This window comes from Homo sapiens, chromosome 22 (genome assembly GCF_000001405.40).
Source record: "Homo sapiens chromosome 22, GRCh38.p14 Primary Assembly".
Classification (NCBI taxonomy): Eukaryota; Metazoa; Chordata; class Mammalia; order Primates; family Hominidae; genus Homo; species Homo sapiens.
Genome location: NC_000022.11, coordinates 47,202,614 through 47,218,632, shown reverse-complemented (window position 1 = coordinate 47,218,632; position 16,019 = coordinate 47,202,614). Strand labels below are relative to the sequence as shown.

At 51.0% G+C, this 16,019-nt stretch overlaps 2 annotated features.

Moving 5' to 3' along the window:
- Window positions 4,786–4,905: a silencer, noted in NCBI's record as "silent region_13919". NCBI's record gives its function as "represses an Ori minimal core promoter by ATAC-STARR-seq in GM12878 lymphoblastoid cells {active_cell/tissue: GM12878}" and the evidence as "EXISTENCE:reporter gene assay evidence [ECO:0000049][PMID:35858748]".
- Window positions 5,511–6,012: an enhancer, noted in NCBI's record as "H3K4me1 hESC enhancer chr22:47608371-47608872 (GRCh37/hg19 assembly coordinates)". NCBI's record gives its function as "activates a minimal SCP1, AML or CMV promoter by ChIP-STARR-seq in naive H9 embryonic stem cells {active_cell/tissue: H9 hESC(naive)}" and the evidence as "EXISTENCE:reporter gene assay evidence [ECO:0000049][PMID:30033119]".

Genomic DNA, 16,019 nt, shown 5'->3' with positions numbered 1-16,019 from the left:
TCATCATAGTACATCGTTAGCATTGTTCATTTTCTTATTGTGATTGTTGCTCATCTCTTGCTGTGCCTAATTATAGTTCAACTCGATCACAGGTATGGATGTAGAAGACAAAGCACAGCACGGTGCACACAGGGGTCCGAACTACCCAGAACTTCAGGCAGCCACTGGGGGGCTTGGAACGTGCCCCCACAGATAAAGGGGGGCTTGTGTATAATGACTGGAAAGGAAAAGATAACGGTATATTGAATTTGCCCAGGATAGACGGGTGTCACTTTCAGTTTGCCCAGAAAACCCAAGAGAAGCTACTTTTTAAAAAAATAGTGTTCCATAGCACAGTCCGGGACTGTAGCTAACAACCATATATTGTCTATTTCAAACTAGCTACAAGAGAACCTTTGAAATGTCCCCAACACAAAGAAATGGTCCATGCTCGCAGTGATGGATATTCCAAATGCCTAATTGGATCATGACACACTGTATACATGTATCAAAATATCACGTCTTCTGTAAGTATGTACAATAATTATATGTCAAGAAACATTTTGTAAAAACACAATTGATAGTTTAGCAATTTGGCTAGATTTAAAGAAATTAAAGGCTGGGCACGGTGGCTCACATCTGTAATCCCAGCACTTTGGGAGGCTGAGGCAGGCAGATCACGAGGTCAGGAGATTGAGACTATCCTGGCTAACAGGGTGAAACCCCATCTCTACTAAAAATACAAAAAAAAAAAAATTAGTTGGGCATGGTGGTGGGCGCCTGTAGTCCCAGCTACTCAGGAGGCTGAGGCAGGAGAATGGCATGAACCCAGGAGGTGGAGCTTGCAGTGAGCCGAGATCGTGCCACTGCACCCCAGCCTGGGCAACAGAGCGAGACTCTGTCTCAAAAAAAAAAAAAAAAGTTAAAATCTATAATTTTCCTATGTAATAGTAATAACCAGTTAGTTACTAACATGGGGAAAAGAAAAGGTTCCGCTCAAAATAACAAGTAAAATGTTTGTATGACCTCGAAATAGTAGCAATACAATATTTCAGTACTTGTGTGAAGACAAAACTATCAGCTTTACTGATAAAATACATAAGCATAGAAGAACATGTTACATTGATGGAAAGTCTGAACGTTGTAACTGTATCAATTCTCCCAAAATATTTCAAATATTTGGCCTAATCCCAATTGAAGTCCTAACTGAAAAACAACAACAAAACTTTGCAACAATCCTGCCCAGCACTAGCAGAAGATAAATGAAAAGGACATTTGGAAAAGAAGGGAAATGGGGAATGCCCTTCCCTCCCAGCTACTGAGATGTATATTTAAAACAACAGTAATTACACACTGTGGGGCTAGCACAAAAAGAACAAGTGGATCATTGAGCTGAAATGCATAGACTTGAAACGGGCCTTAATGTATCTAAAGACTTGATACACAATAAATGAACTATCCAGTCCATCATTCTCAGCAAACTATCGCAAGGACAAAAAAACCAAACACCACATGTTCTCACTCATAGGTGGGAACTGAACAATGAGAACACATGGACACAGGAAGGGGAACATCACACACCGGGGACTGTTGTGGGGTGGGGGGAGGGGGGAGGGATAGCGTTAGGAGATATACCTAATGCTAATTGACAAGTTAATGGGTGCAGCACGCCAACGTGGCACATGCATACATATGTAACAAACCTGCACATTGTGCACATGTACCCTAAAACTTAAAGTAAAATAATAATAATAAAATAAATAAATAAATAAATGAACTATCAAGAATGATTTCAGGAGGTGATGGAAATATTCTAAAGCTGATTTACAGTGATGGTTGCACAACTTGGTGAAATCACGTAAATCATGGAAATGTATTCTTGATAGGGTGGATCTGATGATATGCAAAATAAGCCTCCATAAAGCTTTTTTTTTTTTTTTTTTTTTTTTTTTGAGATGAGTCTCACTCTGTTGCCAGGCTGGAGTGCAGTGGCTCAATCTCAGCTCACTGCAACCTCCACCTCCTGAGTTCAGGCCATTCTCATGCCTCAGCCTCCCGAGTAGCTGGGATTACAGGCTCACACCACCACACCCAGCTAATGTTTGTATTTTTAGCAGAGACAGGGTTTCACCACGTTAGCCGGGATGATCTCAATCTCCCGACCTCATGATCCGCCTGCCTCAGCCTCCCAAAGTGCTGGGATTACAGGCGTGAGCCACCGTGTCTGGCTCTTCCCCTCCCCAAAACCTGTGTAAATGATTTAGGAACATAAGCATCAACACAGTACTGGAAAACAGAGAGAATTAGTGAATTAGAAGTGCTGAGAAAATCTGAGATAAATAACATGGATGAGATGAACTGATGCAGAAACTGGGCTGCCCAGAAAAGCATGAGAAGGCTGCTCCAGCACTGGAAGAATCCCCTGCAAAAATGGGCACTGCTTTCTCAATGAGCAATCCTCAAACCCCAAAACTTGGTGGACAAAAGCTGGAAGAGGAAGCTGCCGTGGAATGTAAGAAACAAAGACAAATGACAGAGCTGGGGCTGGTCGCTTCCCCGCAGCACAGTGGATACCTGGTCCAGACTGCACATGGCCAGTGAAGACCAGTACTCCAATAAAGCTGAGCATGTGGCTCCAAGGGCTGCAGCCACAGGCTAGAGCAGAGGCTGGCAAACTATAACTCAGAGGCCAAACCCCATGACCAATTTCTATAAAGTTACAGAGGTACACACCAGACCCACTTGCTTACCTCTCGTCTCTGTTTTCTGCTCCAATGGCAGACCTGAGTAGTCACCCCCGGGCTTGAATGGCCCCCAGAGCTGAAAATATTTATTCTGTGGCCCTTTGTGGAAAAGGTTTCAATCCCCGGGTTACAGAGAAAACTGTGGCACTAGCTACCAGGGCCACTGTGCGTCACTTTACCAGACATGGATACAAATACACTTGTCCTGTAGGTAAGCGTATTTGTGCCCCCGATGGGTTAAATCAATCCTCTAAAACACATCTCCAAAATGACCAGGCAGTCAACTAATCCATGATGAATCAGGATTAATGCAGGAAACAGAAGACGTTAAACTTCTAATTAGCCTCCACAGAGAGACTCAAAAGGTTATTACATCAATAAAATTGGAACTGGCCACAGTTTTTTAAATGAGGGATTAAATACCAAAAAAGAGATCTTTGAAATTTAAAACATGATTATGAAAATAACAGGTGCTGTGAATAACATGACTGAAACTCAAACTGGTGAACTGGAAGGCAGTCATTAACATCTCTTGGAGCATAAGAAGAATTGACAGAGATGGGAATTATGAGCGTTAGGTTAAGAGATAGGTACAGACTCAGGAGAAGTGATCACATTCCCATGGGGGGCCCAAAGGAGAGTGGGGGGAGAAAGAAGTAATTAAAGAAATAAGAGAAGAAAATTTCCCCTGGAATGGAAAGAGATGAGAGCGTTCAAATCACAGGTGAACTGTTAAGGAATAATAGAAAAATGACATGCTGCTATATATATTCTGGGGAAACTTCTCACTCAATGGATTAAAAACCCCTTTAAGCTTCCAGAGTGTAAAAATAATAGGTTCCCTTAAAAAAAAGAATAAAAATCCCACTCACACTGGTCATTCTTGTCTGCAATTCAAAAATGCTAGAAGATAACATCTGTGCACTAGCTACAAGGTTCTGAGGAAACAGGACCTCAAACTGGAATTCTATAGCTGGACAAAACTATTGTGAGGGCAAAATGAACTTGCTGACCTCTTTTTGAGGACTCAGCATACCGTACACAGCTCTGAAAAAAATAATTATGGGGTAAAAGTCATTAGAATGAAAGAAAAATGAGAAAGGAATGGCATTGGCATAAAAAATAATCATGAGCAAATAGATCATTAAAATTTAGAGTTAAGTCCAATTATTAATAATTACAGAGAAAATGAGGAAGAATGCAGCTGTTAAAAAATATTCCCCACATAGACAAGACATCATGTTCTTAAAGTAATTGACGTAATGTAAAAGGAAAAAATCATATTCTGGAACCAAAATTCCAAATGATTGCAAAAAAAAAGTGCCAAATATCTCGTCCTAGTCAAGTGGTAATTTATGGATACGATTAATTCTTGAAGTGGATAGAAATGTGTCTTAATATTTTACTGATTAGGACTATTTTGGTTGCATGGAACAGAAACCCAGCTCAACCCAGCTTAAGCAAAACTATGAATCCATTGCAAGAACATGAGAATGTTTTATAGGACTCACAGAGAAGACCAGGGTTGGACCTCAGGGACAAATGGGACCAGGGCTTCTAGAGGCCAAGGGACATCTCTGCGTCTCTCTCCATCCTGCATCTTGCCTCTGTGTGGGTGCCCCTCTCCTCTCTAAGTAGATCTGCTTCCTCTGCTTCTGAGATCCACAGTGCAAGATGTGGCCACAGACAGTGTGAGCACACTGCATCCACCTCCATAGCCACTCAAAGCAATGTTGAATTCTTTTTTCTCAGCTCCGGTTCCAACACCCTTGGAAAGACTCTAACTGGCAGAGCTTGGATCAAGTGCTCACTGCAGAATCAATTAATCAGCTGGGACCACACGGCCCGATCACAGTGTTTATGTGGCTGACTCAGGGGCACAAAGTGTGTCAGCAAAGGGAAGTCACGCCCTGGAAGATGGGTGCTGGAGTGAACAGGCCCGTTAGTAGCCCCTGCAGTCCACCCCTTGTCTGCCCCGCACATGTGGGCTCACACCCACTCACATACAATTCCCTGGATATGCTGGATACAGTGCAACCTTTTAAGTTCCTACGAGGACTGTGGTCCAACATCAGTTCAAGAATTTGACCCACCGAAGTATCTGGGCCAGGCAGAGACGTGGGAAATGAGAGGCCTGGAGCTCCCACTAGTGGGCAGTCTGAGCCCTGCAACAGCTGCGGGAGCATCCCTGGCCCGGGGCTGCAGACCGGGGATACAACGGTCGGGAAAGATAGATGCGTTCCTGTGCCCCAAGCCTGGAGGGAAGGAGAGACATTAATACTTGCAAATAATTGCATGGGTTAAATTAATGCTCTAGACCCTGAGGCACAGTGGACACGCGCATACTTGAGTGTGGACGGTCAGTGTGGACACGCACATATTTGAGTGTGGACGGTCAGTGTGGACACGCACATATTTGAGTGTGGACACGCGCATATTTGAGTGTGGACACGCACATATTTGAGTGTGGACGGTCAGTGTGGACACGCGCATATTTGAGTGTGGATGCTCAGTGTGGACGCGCATATTTGAGTGTGGACACGCACATATTTAAGTGTGGACACGCACATATTTGAGTGTGGATGGTCAGTGTGGACACACATATTTAAGTGTGGACACGCGCATATTTGAGTGTGGACGGTCAGCGTGGACACGCACATGTTTGTGGACGGTCAGCGTGGACACGCGCATATTTGAGTGTGGACAGTCAGTGTGGACACGCACATGTTTGAGTGTGGACGGTCAGTGTGGACACGCGCATATTTAGTGTGGACGGTCAGTGTGGACATGCGCATATATGAGTGTGGACGGTCAGTGTGGACACGCGCATGTTTGAGTGTGGACGGTCAGTGTGGACATGCGCATATTTGAGTGTGGACGGTCAGTGTGGACACACGCATGTTTGAGTGTGGACGGTCAGTGTGGACACGCTCATATTTAGTGTGGGCGGTCAGTGTGGACACGCACATATTTGAGTGTGGACACACGTATTTGAGTGTGGACAGAGTGTGGACATGCACATATTTGAGTGTGGACACGCGCATATTTGAGTGTGGACACACGCATATTTGAGTGTGGACGGTCAGTGTGGAGACGCACATATTTGAGTGTGGACACGCACATATTTGAGTGTGGACACACGCATGTTTGAGTGTGGACGGTCAGTGTGGACACGCGCATGTTTGAGTGTGGACGGTCAGTGTGGACACGCTCATATTTAGTGTGGGCACTCAGTGTGGACACGCACATATTTGAGTGTGGACACACACATATTTGAGTGTGGACAGTGTGTGGACAGGCACATATTTGAGTGTGGACACGCACATATTTAAGTGTGGACACACGCATATTTGAGTGTGGACGGTCAGTGTGGACACGCACATATTTGAGTGTGGACGGTCAGTGTGGACACGCGCATATTTGAGTGTGGATGGTCAGTGTGGACACACGCATATTTGAGTGTGGACACGCACATATTTAAGTGTGGACATGCACATATTTGAGTGTGGACGGTCAGTGTGGACACACACATATTTAAGTGTGGACATGCACATATTTGAGTGTGGACGGTCAGCGTGGACACGCACATATTTGAGTGTGGACACGCACATATTTGAGTGTGGATGGTCAGTGTGGACGTGCACATATTTGAGTGTGGACACGCACATATTTAAGTGTGGACACGCGCATATTTGAGTGTGGACGGTCAGTGTGGACACGCGCATATGAGTGTGGACACACATATTTAGTGTGGACAGTCAGTGTGGACACGCACATATTTGAGTGTGGACATGCACATATTTAAGTGTGGACACGCGCATATTTGAGTGTGGACGGTCAGTGTGGACACGCACATATTTGAGTGTGGACGGTCAGTGTGGACACGCACATATTTGAGTGTGGACACACACTTATTTAAGTGTGGACACGTGCATATTTGAGTGTGGACGGTCAGTGTGGACACGCACATATTTAGTGTGGACGGTCAGTGTGGACACGCACATATTTGAGTGTGGACATGCACATATTTGAGTGTGGACAGTCAGTGTGGACACGCACATATTTGAGTGTGGACACGCGCATATTTGAGTGTGGACACGCGCATATTTGAGTGTGGACGGTCAGTGTGGACATGCACATATTTAAGTGTGGACACGCACATATTTGAGTGTGGATGGTCAGTGTGGACGTGCACATATTTGAGTGTGGACACGCACATATTTAAGTGTGGACACGCGCATATTTGAGTGTGGACGGTCAGCGTGGACACACACATATTTGAGTGTGGACGGTCAGTGTGGACACGCACATATTTGAGTGTGGACGGTCAGTGTGGACACGCACATATTTGAGTGTGGACACACACATATTTAAGTGTGGACACGTGCATATTTGAGTGTGGACGGTCAGTGTGGACACGCACATATTTAGTGTGGACGGTCAGTGTGGACACGCACATATTTGAGTGTGGACATGCACATATTTGAGTGTGGACAGTCAGTGTGGACACGCACATATTTGAGTGTGGACACGCACATATTTAAGTGTGGACACGCGCATATTTGAGTGTGGACGGTCAGTGTGGACATGCACATATTTGAGTGTGGACGGTCAGTGTGGACACGCACATATTTGAGTGTGGACACGCACATATTTAAGTGTGGACACGCGCATATTTGAGTGTGGACGGTCAGTGTGGACAGGCACATATTTGAGTGTGGACGGTCAGTGTGGACACGCACATATTTGAGTGTGGACACACATATTTAAGTGTGGACACGTGCATATTTGAGTGTGGACGGTCAGTGTGGACACGCACATGTTTGAGTCCCAGCATTTACAACAGCACGGCACCAGGTCCCAATGTGGAAAGGGTGCCTTTTCATTGCTGTCTTGGGAACATACTGGGAGATGTCCCAAAAGGAGCTAAAACAGTTAAAATTGGGCTTTATTTAGAGCTTGCGCTTACTTCCCTTCGTTCTCTACACTTTCGCGTGGCTGTTTCCTCCCTGCCCTGCCCCTGCAGGTGACTTGGACCTTGCTGACCCTGTTAGGGGTGGATGTGCCTTCGCAATTGTCTACACACAGGTCCGTGTCTCCCAAACCTTACGATACTTGAGGACAGGGGCTGTGCACAGCTCAGGGAGGAGTATGCACTGTGAAGGCAGACAGACTGCCCCTCCTCCCCCGGAAATGCCAGCCCCTCCTCACCATCATCTTCATCATCATTGGAAAATAACAGCAAATGCTGAAATAATAACAATAATAATGGATTAAATCCTCACAACTAAAGAGCAGCAAACCCTCACGAGTGTTTGTGTGGGGGAGGCATCGTTCCAGGAGCTCCCTGTGCCCCAACTCATTTACTCCCTCCGCGCTCCATTCTTCAAACAGAGTAAACTGAGGCAGAGACAAGGCAATGACATCATCCCCGAGCCCATTCGGCCCATCTGCAAAATGGGTACAAGCAACCGTCTCGGAGTATGGAGAGACGTGGGTGTGCGGCGGAGCTGCCGTGAGTGGTGGGCCTCTGTAAGATGTTTCAGAGCCTGCAGGCCCCGGCTGAATTCCCAAAGCACTGGGAAAATGGCGCAGACAGAGCGCTCCAAGCCGAGGGAAGAAGGGTGTCCACGAGATGGGGGTCCCACAGCCTGTCCCTTTCCTGCTAGGCTCAAAGCTTTACTGTCCCCTCGCGGCTGGTGTGGGAGGAATGAGGGGTCAGTGGGGCTTCTTGGCTGTGGGCAATGGGAACTGATGGGAGGACTCTGGGTCCTGTCCAGGGGAGAAGAGGGCAAGGATGAGGGGGCACCAGGGCAGGGTGGAAGCTAAGGGGCTCTGAGGAAGATCCACTCTCCAGCCTTTGTCTCTGGGTTCAGGAATTAAACCTGAGAGTGGCCATCATGTGGGCCTGGCTGGGGCTGCTTGTGCACCTCCCGCTGGAACTGCCCCACCCATGCCCCACCCAATGTCAAATAATGACTGAGGATGGCTCCTGGAGAGGTGGGGCCGGCAGCCACACGACAACACCCTGGCAGCCACCACTACAGGGCCCGCACTTTGACCCACCACAGAGGCAAGCCCTGGATGGCCACCCCACAGGACCCATCGTCACCAACCCTCCCGGGCGGCATGTGCCCACAGCAGCTGTGCAGCTGGCTGACGACATTGGGTTCAGGCCCAGCAAAGCCCACTCATCCCACAGACACCGACGGCCCCATAAGCTTCGCTCCTGCTCGGGCCCCTGCCCAGGCCCTGGATGGCAGGAGCTGGCCCTCCCCTGTGGGCAGGTGCATCCCTGGAGAGTGTGGAGACCTCTCTGGGGCTCGGTCCCCAGCCCTCCATAAAAGTATCCACTCAGCTTCTCCCCATAAGCCCCTCTGGTAAGGCCCACAGTGTGGGGCAGGCGCAGGAGGCCTCTCCTGCCCAGGGCAGAGGACAGTTCTGAGCCTCCCTTCCTAAAGCATCCCATCCCACAAAGGCAACCGCCCTGTGGGGAAGGGGCTGAAGACCACCACTCGGGCTGGCAGGTGTGGCCCCTGGCTGGTGGCCAGGAGGAACATGGCCACAGTCCCCAAAACTTGGGACACCCGGGCTTGGTCCTTGGCCAGCCCAACCCACCCAGCCCCACATTCTTCCTCCAGAGGGCCAAAGGTCTGCACTTCCACCCCGGTATCCACCTGCTCTGTCACCTTGTCCCATGTCCTGCTCCCCAAGCCACTACGCTCCAGAGCATGCCAGAGAGAAAATGTGGGAAACGCTGAGGCCATGTAAACAGGCGAGATGACGCATAAGGGGCCTGTCCAGCTTCATCACAGGAAACGCCTCTGCTCACTGTGCGGCCTGCACTGGGGAAGCCCACAGAGCGACCATCCCCAGGGACCCCCTCCCCACCGCCCCTCAACAAACACCTCCCTCGCCAGGAGGAAAAAAAAAAACAAAATGCACGGCCATTTAATGACCCACCCTCGGAGTGCCAGCAGGCAGAGGTAGGACTGGAGGGGAGCAGAATCTGATTAATTTAACGGGGAGTCCAGGGGGAAAATCTCAGAGATAGACCAAAGAGGCATTTCAAAAGCACAGCGATAAATACACTAAATCACGCAGAACAAACAGAAGCAGGTGCTTTGCTGATAAATGCTTAAGCTCTGCGACTTTCAAGATGAAACGGCCCAGCCCGAGATAGATGGAGTGAATTTGATGGGCTGGGGGCTGCCAGCGCCGCGTCCTGAGCCGCTCCCCACCCCCCACCCCTGGCATATGTTCCTGACAACAGTTAGGATCTTACCTCGGGAGAGCATGTTGCCTTTTGCTCTGAAGACGATCTGACAGTTCTGATATGCAGGTTTATTATCTGGCTGTCATGCATTTCTCCTGTGCTGGGGTCTCATCCATTTGGGGAATGACTCTGTTTTGAAAGTGGCATTTGGGAGATGAAGATAAGGTGGCCCTAGGCCCAGCACTGAAGACTCCCAGCTGGTTGAGCCCCTCTCCGTCCCAGGCAGCCACGGTCCTTCTCTCTGCAGGGAGCACTCAGAGCCACCCTGCAAGGAGACCCAGCCCTGAACATCCTTCTCAGCTCAGAGATGGTAAAACTGAAGCCCAGCAAGCTTGGGATCAGTAACCATTGACTGACAGCTGGGGCTCATGATCAAATCTTCTGGCCCCAAACTTGGTAACTTTTTCCTCACGAGGCCAGCCTGCACGGAGCGCCAATGGGGGAGTCCCCAGTCTGCAGCCATCGCTGACACCTGGTGCGAAGGGGTTTACCTGCTGCACCTGGGACAGGAAAGCAGCCCTATGTTTGGAGGAAGGGGGTGGGGAACGGCTAGGCACAGAATCACACCACAGGTGGGATCACGTGCTGGACGCAAACAAGTGCTCTGAAATTAGGCAGACCTGGGTTCAAACGCCAGCCCCACTACTTACCAGCTGTGCAAGCTGGAGAGGTTTCTTCCCCTCTCTGAGCCCCAGTCGTGTCCTCTGAGAATGATGGTAATGAAAACCTCTGCTCCCTGTGGGCTGCTGGGAAGATGGTGAGATCCTTTTGATGCATTTAGCCCAGTGCCTGGCACAAAGAAAAGGCTTAATAAAAGTTCTCAACTCTTAGTATTTGTGTCAGTTATCTCCTGCTGCATAACAAAGTACTCCAAAATTTAGCAGTTTAAAACAACAGCAAACCTTTATCGACTTGCAGTTTCTGTGGGTCAGGATCCAGGGTAAGTTCGGGTGGGTGGCCCTGGCTCAGGGTCTCTCCAGAGGCTGCGTCATGACGTTGGCTGGGGCTGCCATCATCTGAGGGTTTGACTGGGGCTGAAGCCTCTGCCTCCAATATGCGCTGCTTGGGGGAGGCCACAGTTCCTCACAGGATGACTTCCACAGGCTGCTCGAAGGTCCCACACCACAGCAGCAGGAGCCCTAGAGCAAGTGATCAAGAGAGGACAGAGGGGAAGCCACAGTGCCTTTTCTGACCTGGCCTGGGAAGTTCCTCACTGCCACTTCTTCCATATTCTATGTGTGAAGAGAGTAGGAAATTAGCCTCTGTTTCTTGGAGGGAGGAATGGCAAAAGACTATGGTGGACGTTTTTTAAATCCACCACGTCATTGCTGGAAGAATGAGACCAGACCTCAAGGGAAGAAAACAAGGAAATTGTCTAGAAAAGCCCATGAAAGAGGCAGAAAATAACTGAAAGTGACTCGCAATTTTCTTTGCTACTTCCAGCCAAGAGCATTGTTCTCACCAGCCCAGCTGACTGACCCTTTAGGTGACAGAACCACATCACCCCAAACTTTTTCCCGGGCACAAAAGCATTCTGAGCTACATCCATGTGTGGGTCTTTGATACTAGAACCAGCACTTCCAAACCACCCGGAGTCCAACACCCATGATGCAGGGCAGGCAGGCCCACAATTGGGGCTTAGTCTGGGAGGGTCCTTGGCTTTACCCAGGAAAGAATTCAAGGGCGAGCTGGTGGTGTTAGACAGCAGTCTTTATTGAAGTGGTACCAGAGGTGCTGCTCCTTGCAGAGCAGGGCTATCCCATGGGCAGTGTGCCCAGAGCGGCAGTTCAAAGGCAGTGCTGCACCCACTTTTTTTTTTTTTTTTTTTTTTTTTTGTGAGACAGAGTCTTGCTCTGTCACCCAGGCTGAAGTGCAGCGGCACAATCTCGGCTCACTGCAACCTCCACCTCCCAGGTCCAAGCAATTCTCCTGCCTCAGCCTCCCGAGTAACTGGGATTACAGGCGCCCACCACCATGCCTGGCTAAGTTTTGTATTTTTACTAGAGACGGGGTTTCACCATGTTGGCCAGGCTGGTCTCGAATTCCCGACCTTAAGGTGATTTGCCTGCCTTGGCTTCCCAAAGTGCTGGGATTACAGGCGTGAGCCACTGTGCCTGGCCTGGACTCATATTTATACCCACTTTTAATTACATGTAAATTGAGGGGCACTTTATGCAGAAATTTCCAGGAAAAGGATGATAACTTCTGGGCTGTTGCCATGGAAAGGGGTGGTAACTTCCAGGAGTTGCCATGGCAATGGTAAACTGACATGGCACCGGTGGGTGTGTCTTATAGGAGGTGCTTTAGGCTCTTCCCTGTTTTAGCTAGTCTTCAATCTGGTCCAGAGTCCAAGCCCTGCCTCCTGCCTCCCGCCCTGGAGGGCACTTTCCTGCCACCTCTCCATTTTCCATTAAATAATGGAATAATTCAGTAATTCCATTGAATAATGGAAAATGATGAAAAGGACTGGAATATCCAGGCTGGAGTATCTTCCCAGGATTCTGAGGGAGGGACTGAAACCAAGCGAATTATAACATCTCCCCCCAAGAGTCACTCAGGGATCCTCCTGCAACAGGAGATGGTCACATTCCTTTAACTGTGGCCTCCAGCCTTGGGAGGTGTTATACGCCCATTTCACGGATGGAAAAATAGAGGCTCCAAAAGGCCTGGCAAGTTGTCCAAAGCCACACAACGTGGAGTGCAAGAGCCTGGCCGAGTTCGAGAGGCCCTGCCACCAGCCTGGGTTTCCACACCACCCACGTCCATCCCAGGCTTGCACAAACCACATCTGCCATGACCAGATGATGTCCACGGTAGGGACGGAGCCCGTGAATGCACAAACCCACACCAGGGGCTAAGCGCAGCTGTCCTGGGGGACCACAGCAGCCATGCTCTCCTCCCCGTCCCCTGCCTGCCATTGCACCACCGCCCACCACCTTGCAGACACTGCTGCAGAGGCCTGCCCCTGCCTAGAGATGGGCCATGGAGAGGGCACCTGGGCTGTGAGCACATTAGAGACAGGTGCCCACACCAAAACCCTGCAGAGCTCAGAGGGTCCCTGATCAGGGGAAGGCAGGGTCACGTCTGCCTTCCAGAAGTGTCCCTGAAGTGCCCAGGGAGGGAAAGTAGCCTCAGCAGGGAGGCTGGGGAAGGAGGGTGACATGGGGGAGCCTGGGAGGGAGGGTGACATCGGGGAGCCGGGGAGGAATGAAGAGGGGAAAGGACAAGTGGCCCTGCCACACAGGACCAAGCAGTGCGAGGAGACCCACAGGGCGGGGGCCCAGCCTTCAAGAGAGCCCAACAAAAGAACGGGGTGTGTGTTTGGGCCGAATGGGGCGAGTACCAGAGAGGGCTGCTCCAGGCTTGGGGGCTCCGTGATGTGTGAGCTTGGAGGTGGCCAGGAACGGAGGCCCCGTCAGGATGTCTCAGCTTCTGGGGGTGGCCGTGGGCTGAACAGGAAAGTATTTTGAGCGTCCCCACAACCCGGCAATGTTCACCAGCCCACTGGACACTCTGACCCCACCCCAGGCAGGCATCCCTCATCCCTCACCTGTGGCTCCCACTAGTAAGGAGGACCCAGCCACTCCCTCCACCTCTGCTCTCTCTCCGTCACCCCACATCTAACCCTGAGAGATCCCCTGCTCTCTCCGTCACCCCACATCTAACCCTGAGAGATCCCCTGCTCTCTCTAGCTCACCCCACATCTAACCCTGAGAGATCACCTGCTCTCTCTCCGTCACCCCACATCTAACCCTGACCGATCACCTGCTCTCTCTCCGTAAACCCACATCTAACCTGCCACCTGAGGGCTCGCTGCTCTAGTGTCCAGCCCGAGTTCCCAAGTCAAAGAATCCCATCAGTCTAAGAACACACAGTGAACACCCGCTGTGTGTCCAGCATCCTTCCAGGCCCTGAGATACGACAGTGAACAAAAGGGGCCAACACTTCCGAGGAGAACACCCTGAGCAAACAAGCAGCATGGCTGGCAGCAATGGGCACACAGGGGACAAAGCTGCAGGGCGGAGGGATGGGGAGAACAGGCTGGGGTCCACTGAGATGGGCCAAGCACAGAGGAACTCCAAAAAGGCAACGCTGGGGCAAAGAGCTGACAAGACAAAGGGGCGAGCCCTGTGTGCCTGTGGGGAGGAGGGTCGCAGGCGGAGGGCAGAGTGAAGGCCGGGACCGGAGGGTCAGGTGTGGCTGAGAAGTGGCAGGATGGCCAGTGGGCCACTATTGTGAAGGGAAGCAGAGACACGGGATAGAATGGGGTGGAAACTGGTGAGGCGGCCTGTTTGGATGCTGATGGGAGTGGCCCAGGAGAGGAAGAAATATTCCTGATGCAGGACAGAGAGGGGGACCACAGCTGGAAAGGAGTCCCGGAATAATGCCAAAGAAAAATGATTCGCTGGACGCTTGTTAAAGACAGCAAGGCGGATGCCACTCCAGCTCCTGCTGTAGGGGAGACTCGTGCACAGAGCTGAGCTCAACTCCCACTAGAGCAATGCCGTCGGGGCACACAGCCAGCAAGCGGAGCGGGGAGACGGGAGCGTGCAGAGTGAGGAGCTGACCTCACCAGATATCAAGGCTGGGGGATAAGGGACTTCATCTGATTTCAGAGTGTGTAGATTCTTCATAAGTGGGCTTAGGGGGGTCTTTGCTGAAACAGGTTCAGCCCACCAAGGGCAAAGCTTCTTCAGAGGAGGACTCCGAGGAGGCCACTCCAGCACGGGCAACGAGGGCATCCTTGTCACTAGGTGAGAAGAGACAGGCTTCTGTGCGGGAGGGAAGGGGCCGGCCTTGCTGGAGTGGAGCCAATTCAGGGCAAGGTGGAGACCCCTGAGTACACAGGTGGGCTGAGGAGCACGTTCATTGTTGCTGGCCCTGGGGACACAGCAGCTGCCTCACTACCATGGAGACAGGGATGCACCCGTGGACGGCTGCCCAACCAGGCCTTGCCTAAGTCCCATCTGCCATGGCCAAAAGGCAGCATCTCAAGGTCACCAAATGGGCCTCTCCTTCCAGGGAAACAGGTTTCTCTCTTCACTGTCATTCCGGGGGTTCACGCAGATGCTGGCCTGGCAAATGCTAGGGGCCTGCAGGCTGACACCTTCCACATGTTTCATGTAAGAGGCTCCCCCAGCTCTGTCCTCCACGGTTTCATGGCTTTTATCAGCACCAGGATGAGAGTCTTCCAAGGATGCTGGGCTGTGTCCGCCTTGAGACAGGACCCCATACGGACATCTGTGGGCCATGAGCAGGGAAATGAAGGGAAGAGGGTGCCAGCTGCCTTCCCTGCCAGTCCCAAACATCTACCCTGAAATCAGACACAGTGTATGGATGTTGCTACCCCTGCCAGAACCCTGCATGTGGCACCCAGAAACTCCGATGTGAACTTCATGCAGTTCATTAGAATCAGGCCCTACCACTGCAGCCCTTCTTGGGAGCATTTTCATGAAAGAAAGCCATTCCCCAGCTTCCCAAATAACAACCAAGCACGGCCCCCACGCTGGAGGCTGTGGGTAAAGGGAGTCAGCTCATTGGCCCCCTTTTGGGGCGTTAAGGGCACGAGTTCCTGAAGTTCCTGCCTTGCTAACTGGAGGTCCCTGTCTCCAGGGTATTTACCGCAGGTCTCCAAAACCTGAGCCTGGCTGACCGGGACGCCTACCCCCGGGACCATCTCACTACTGTCACGCTGCTCATCACAGCTGCACTGCAATGCTGTTCTAGAGGCCTGCACTGTGTGGCTGTCCTGGAGGCCTGTGATGGCAGTGGTGGGCCATACGGAGCAGCCAGCTGTAGCGGGAAGGGGCAAGCGATGGCAGCAGGAGTGGCTGCAGGAGCAGCAGTGGCAGCGGTGGGAGCAGCGGTGGGAGCAGCGGTGGCAGCGGTGAGACCCCTGTGCCGCATGTTCCCTGTGCACTGCATCCCCAAGGCAGCTGACTGCACCACCCCTACCCTCACACGGCTGGGAAGGACCCACCCCCAGGCCCAGAGCCTCCGCCACTCCCAACCCTGGCCCC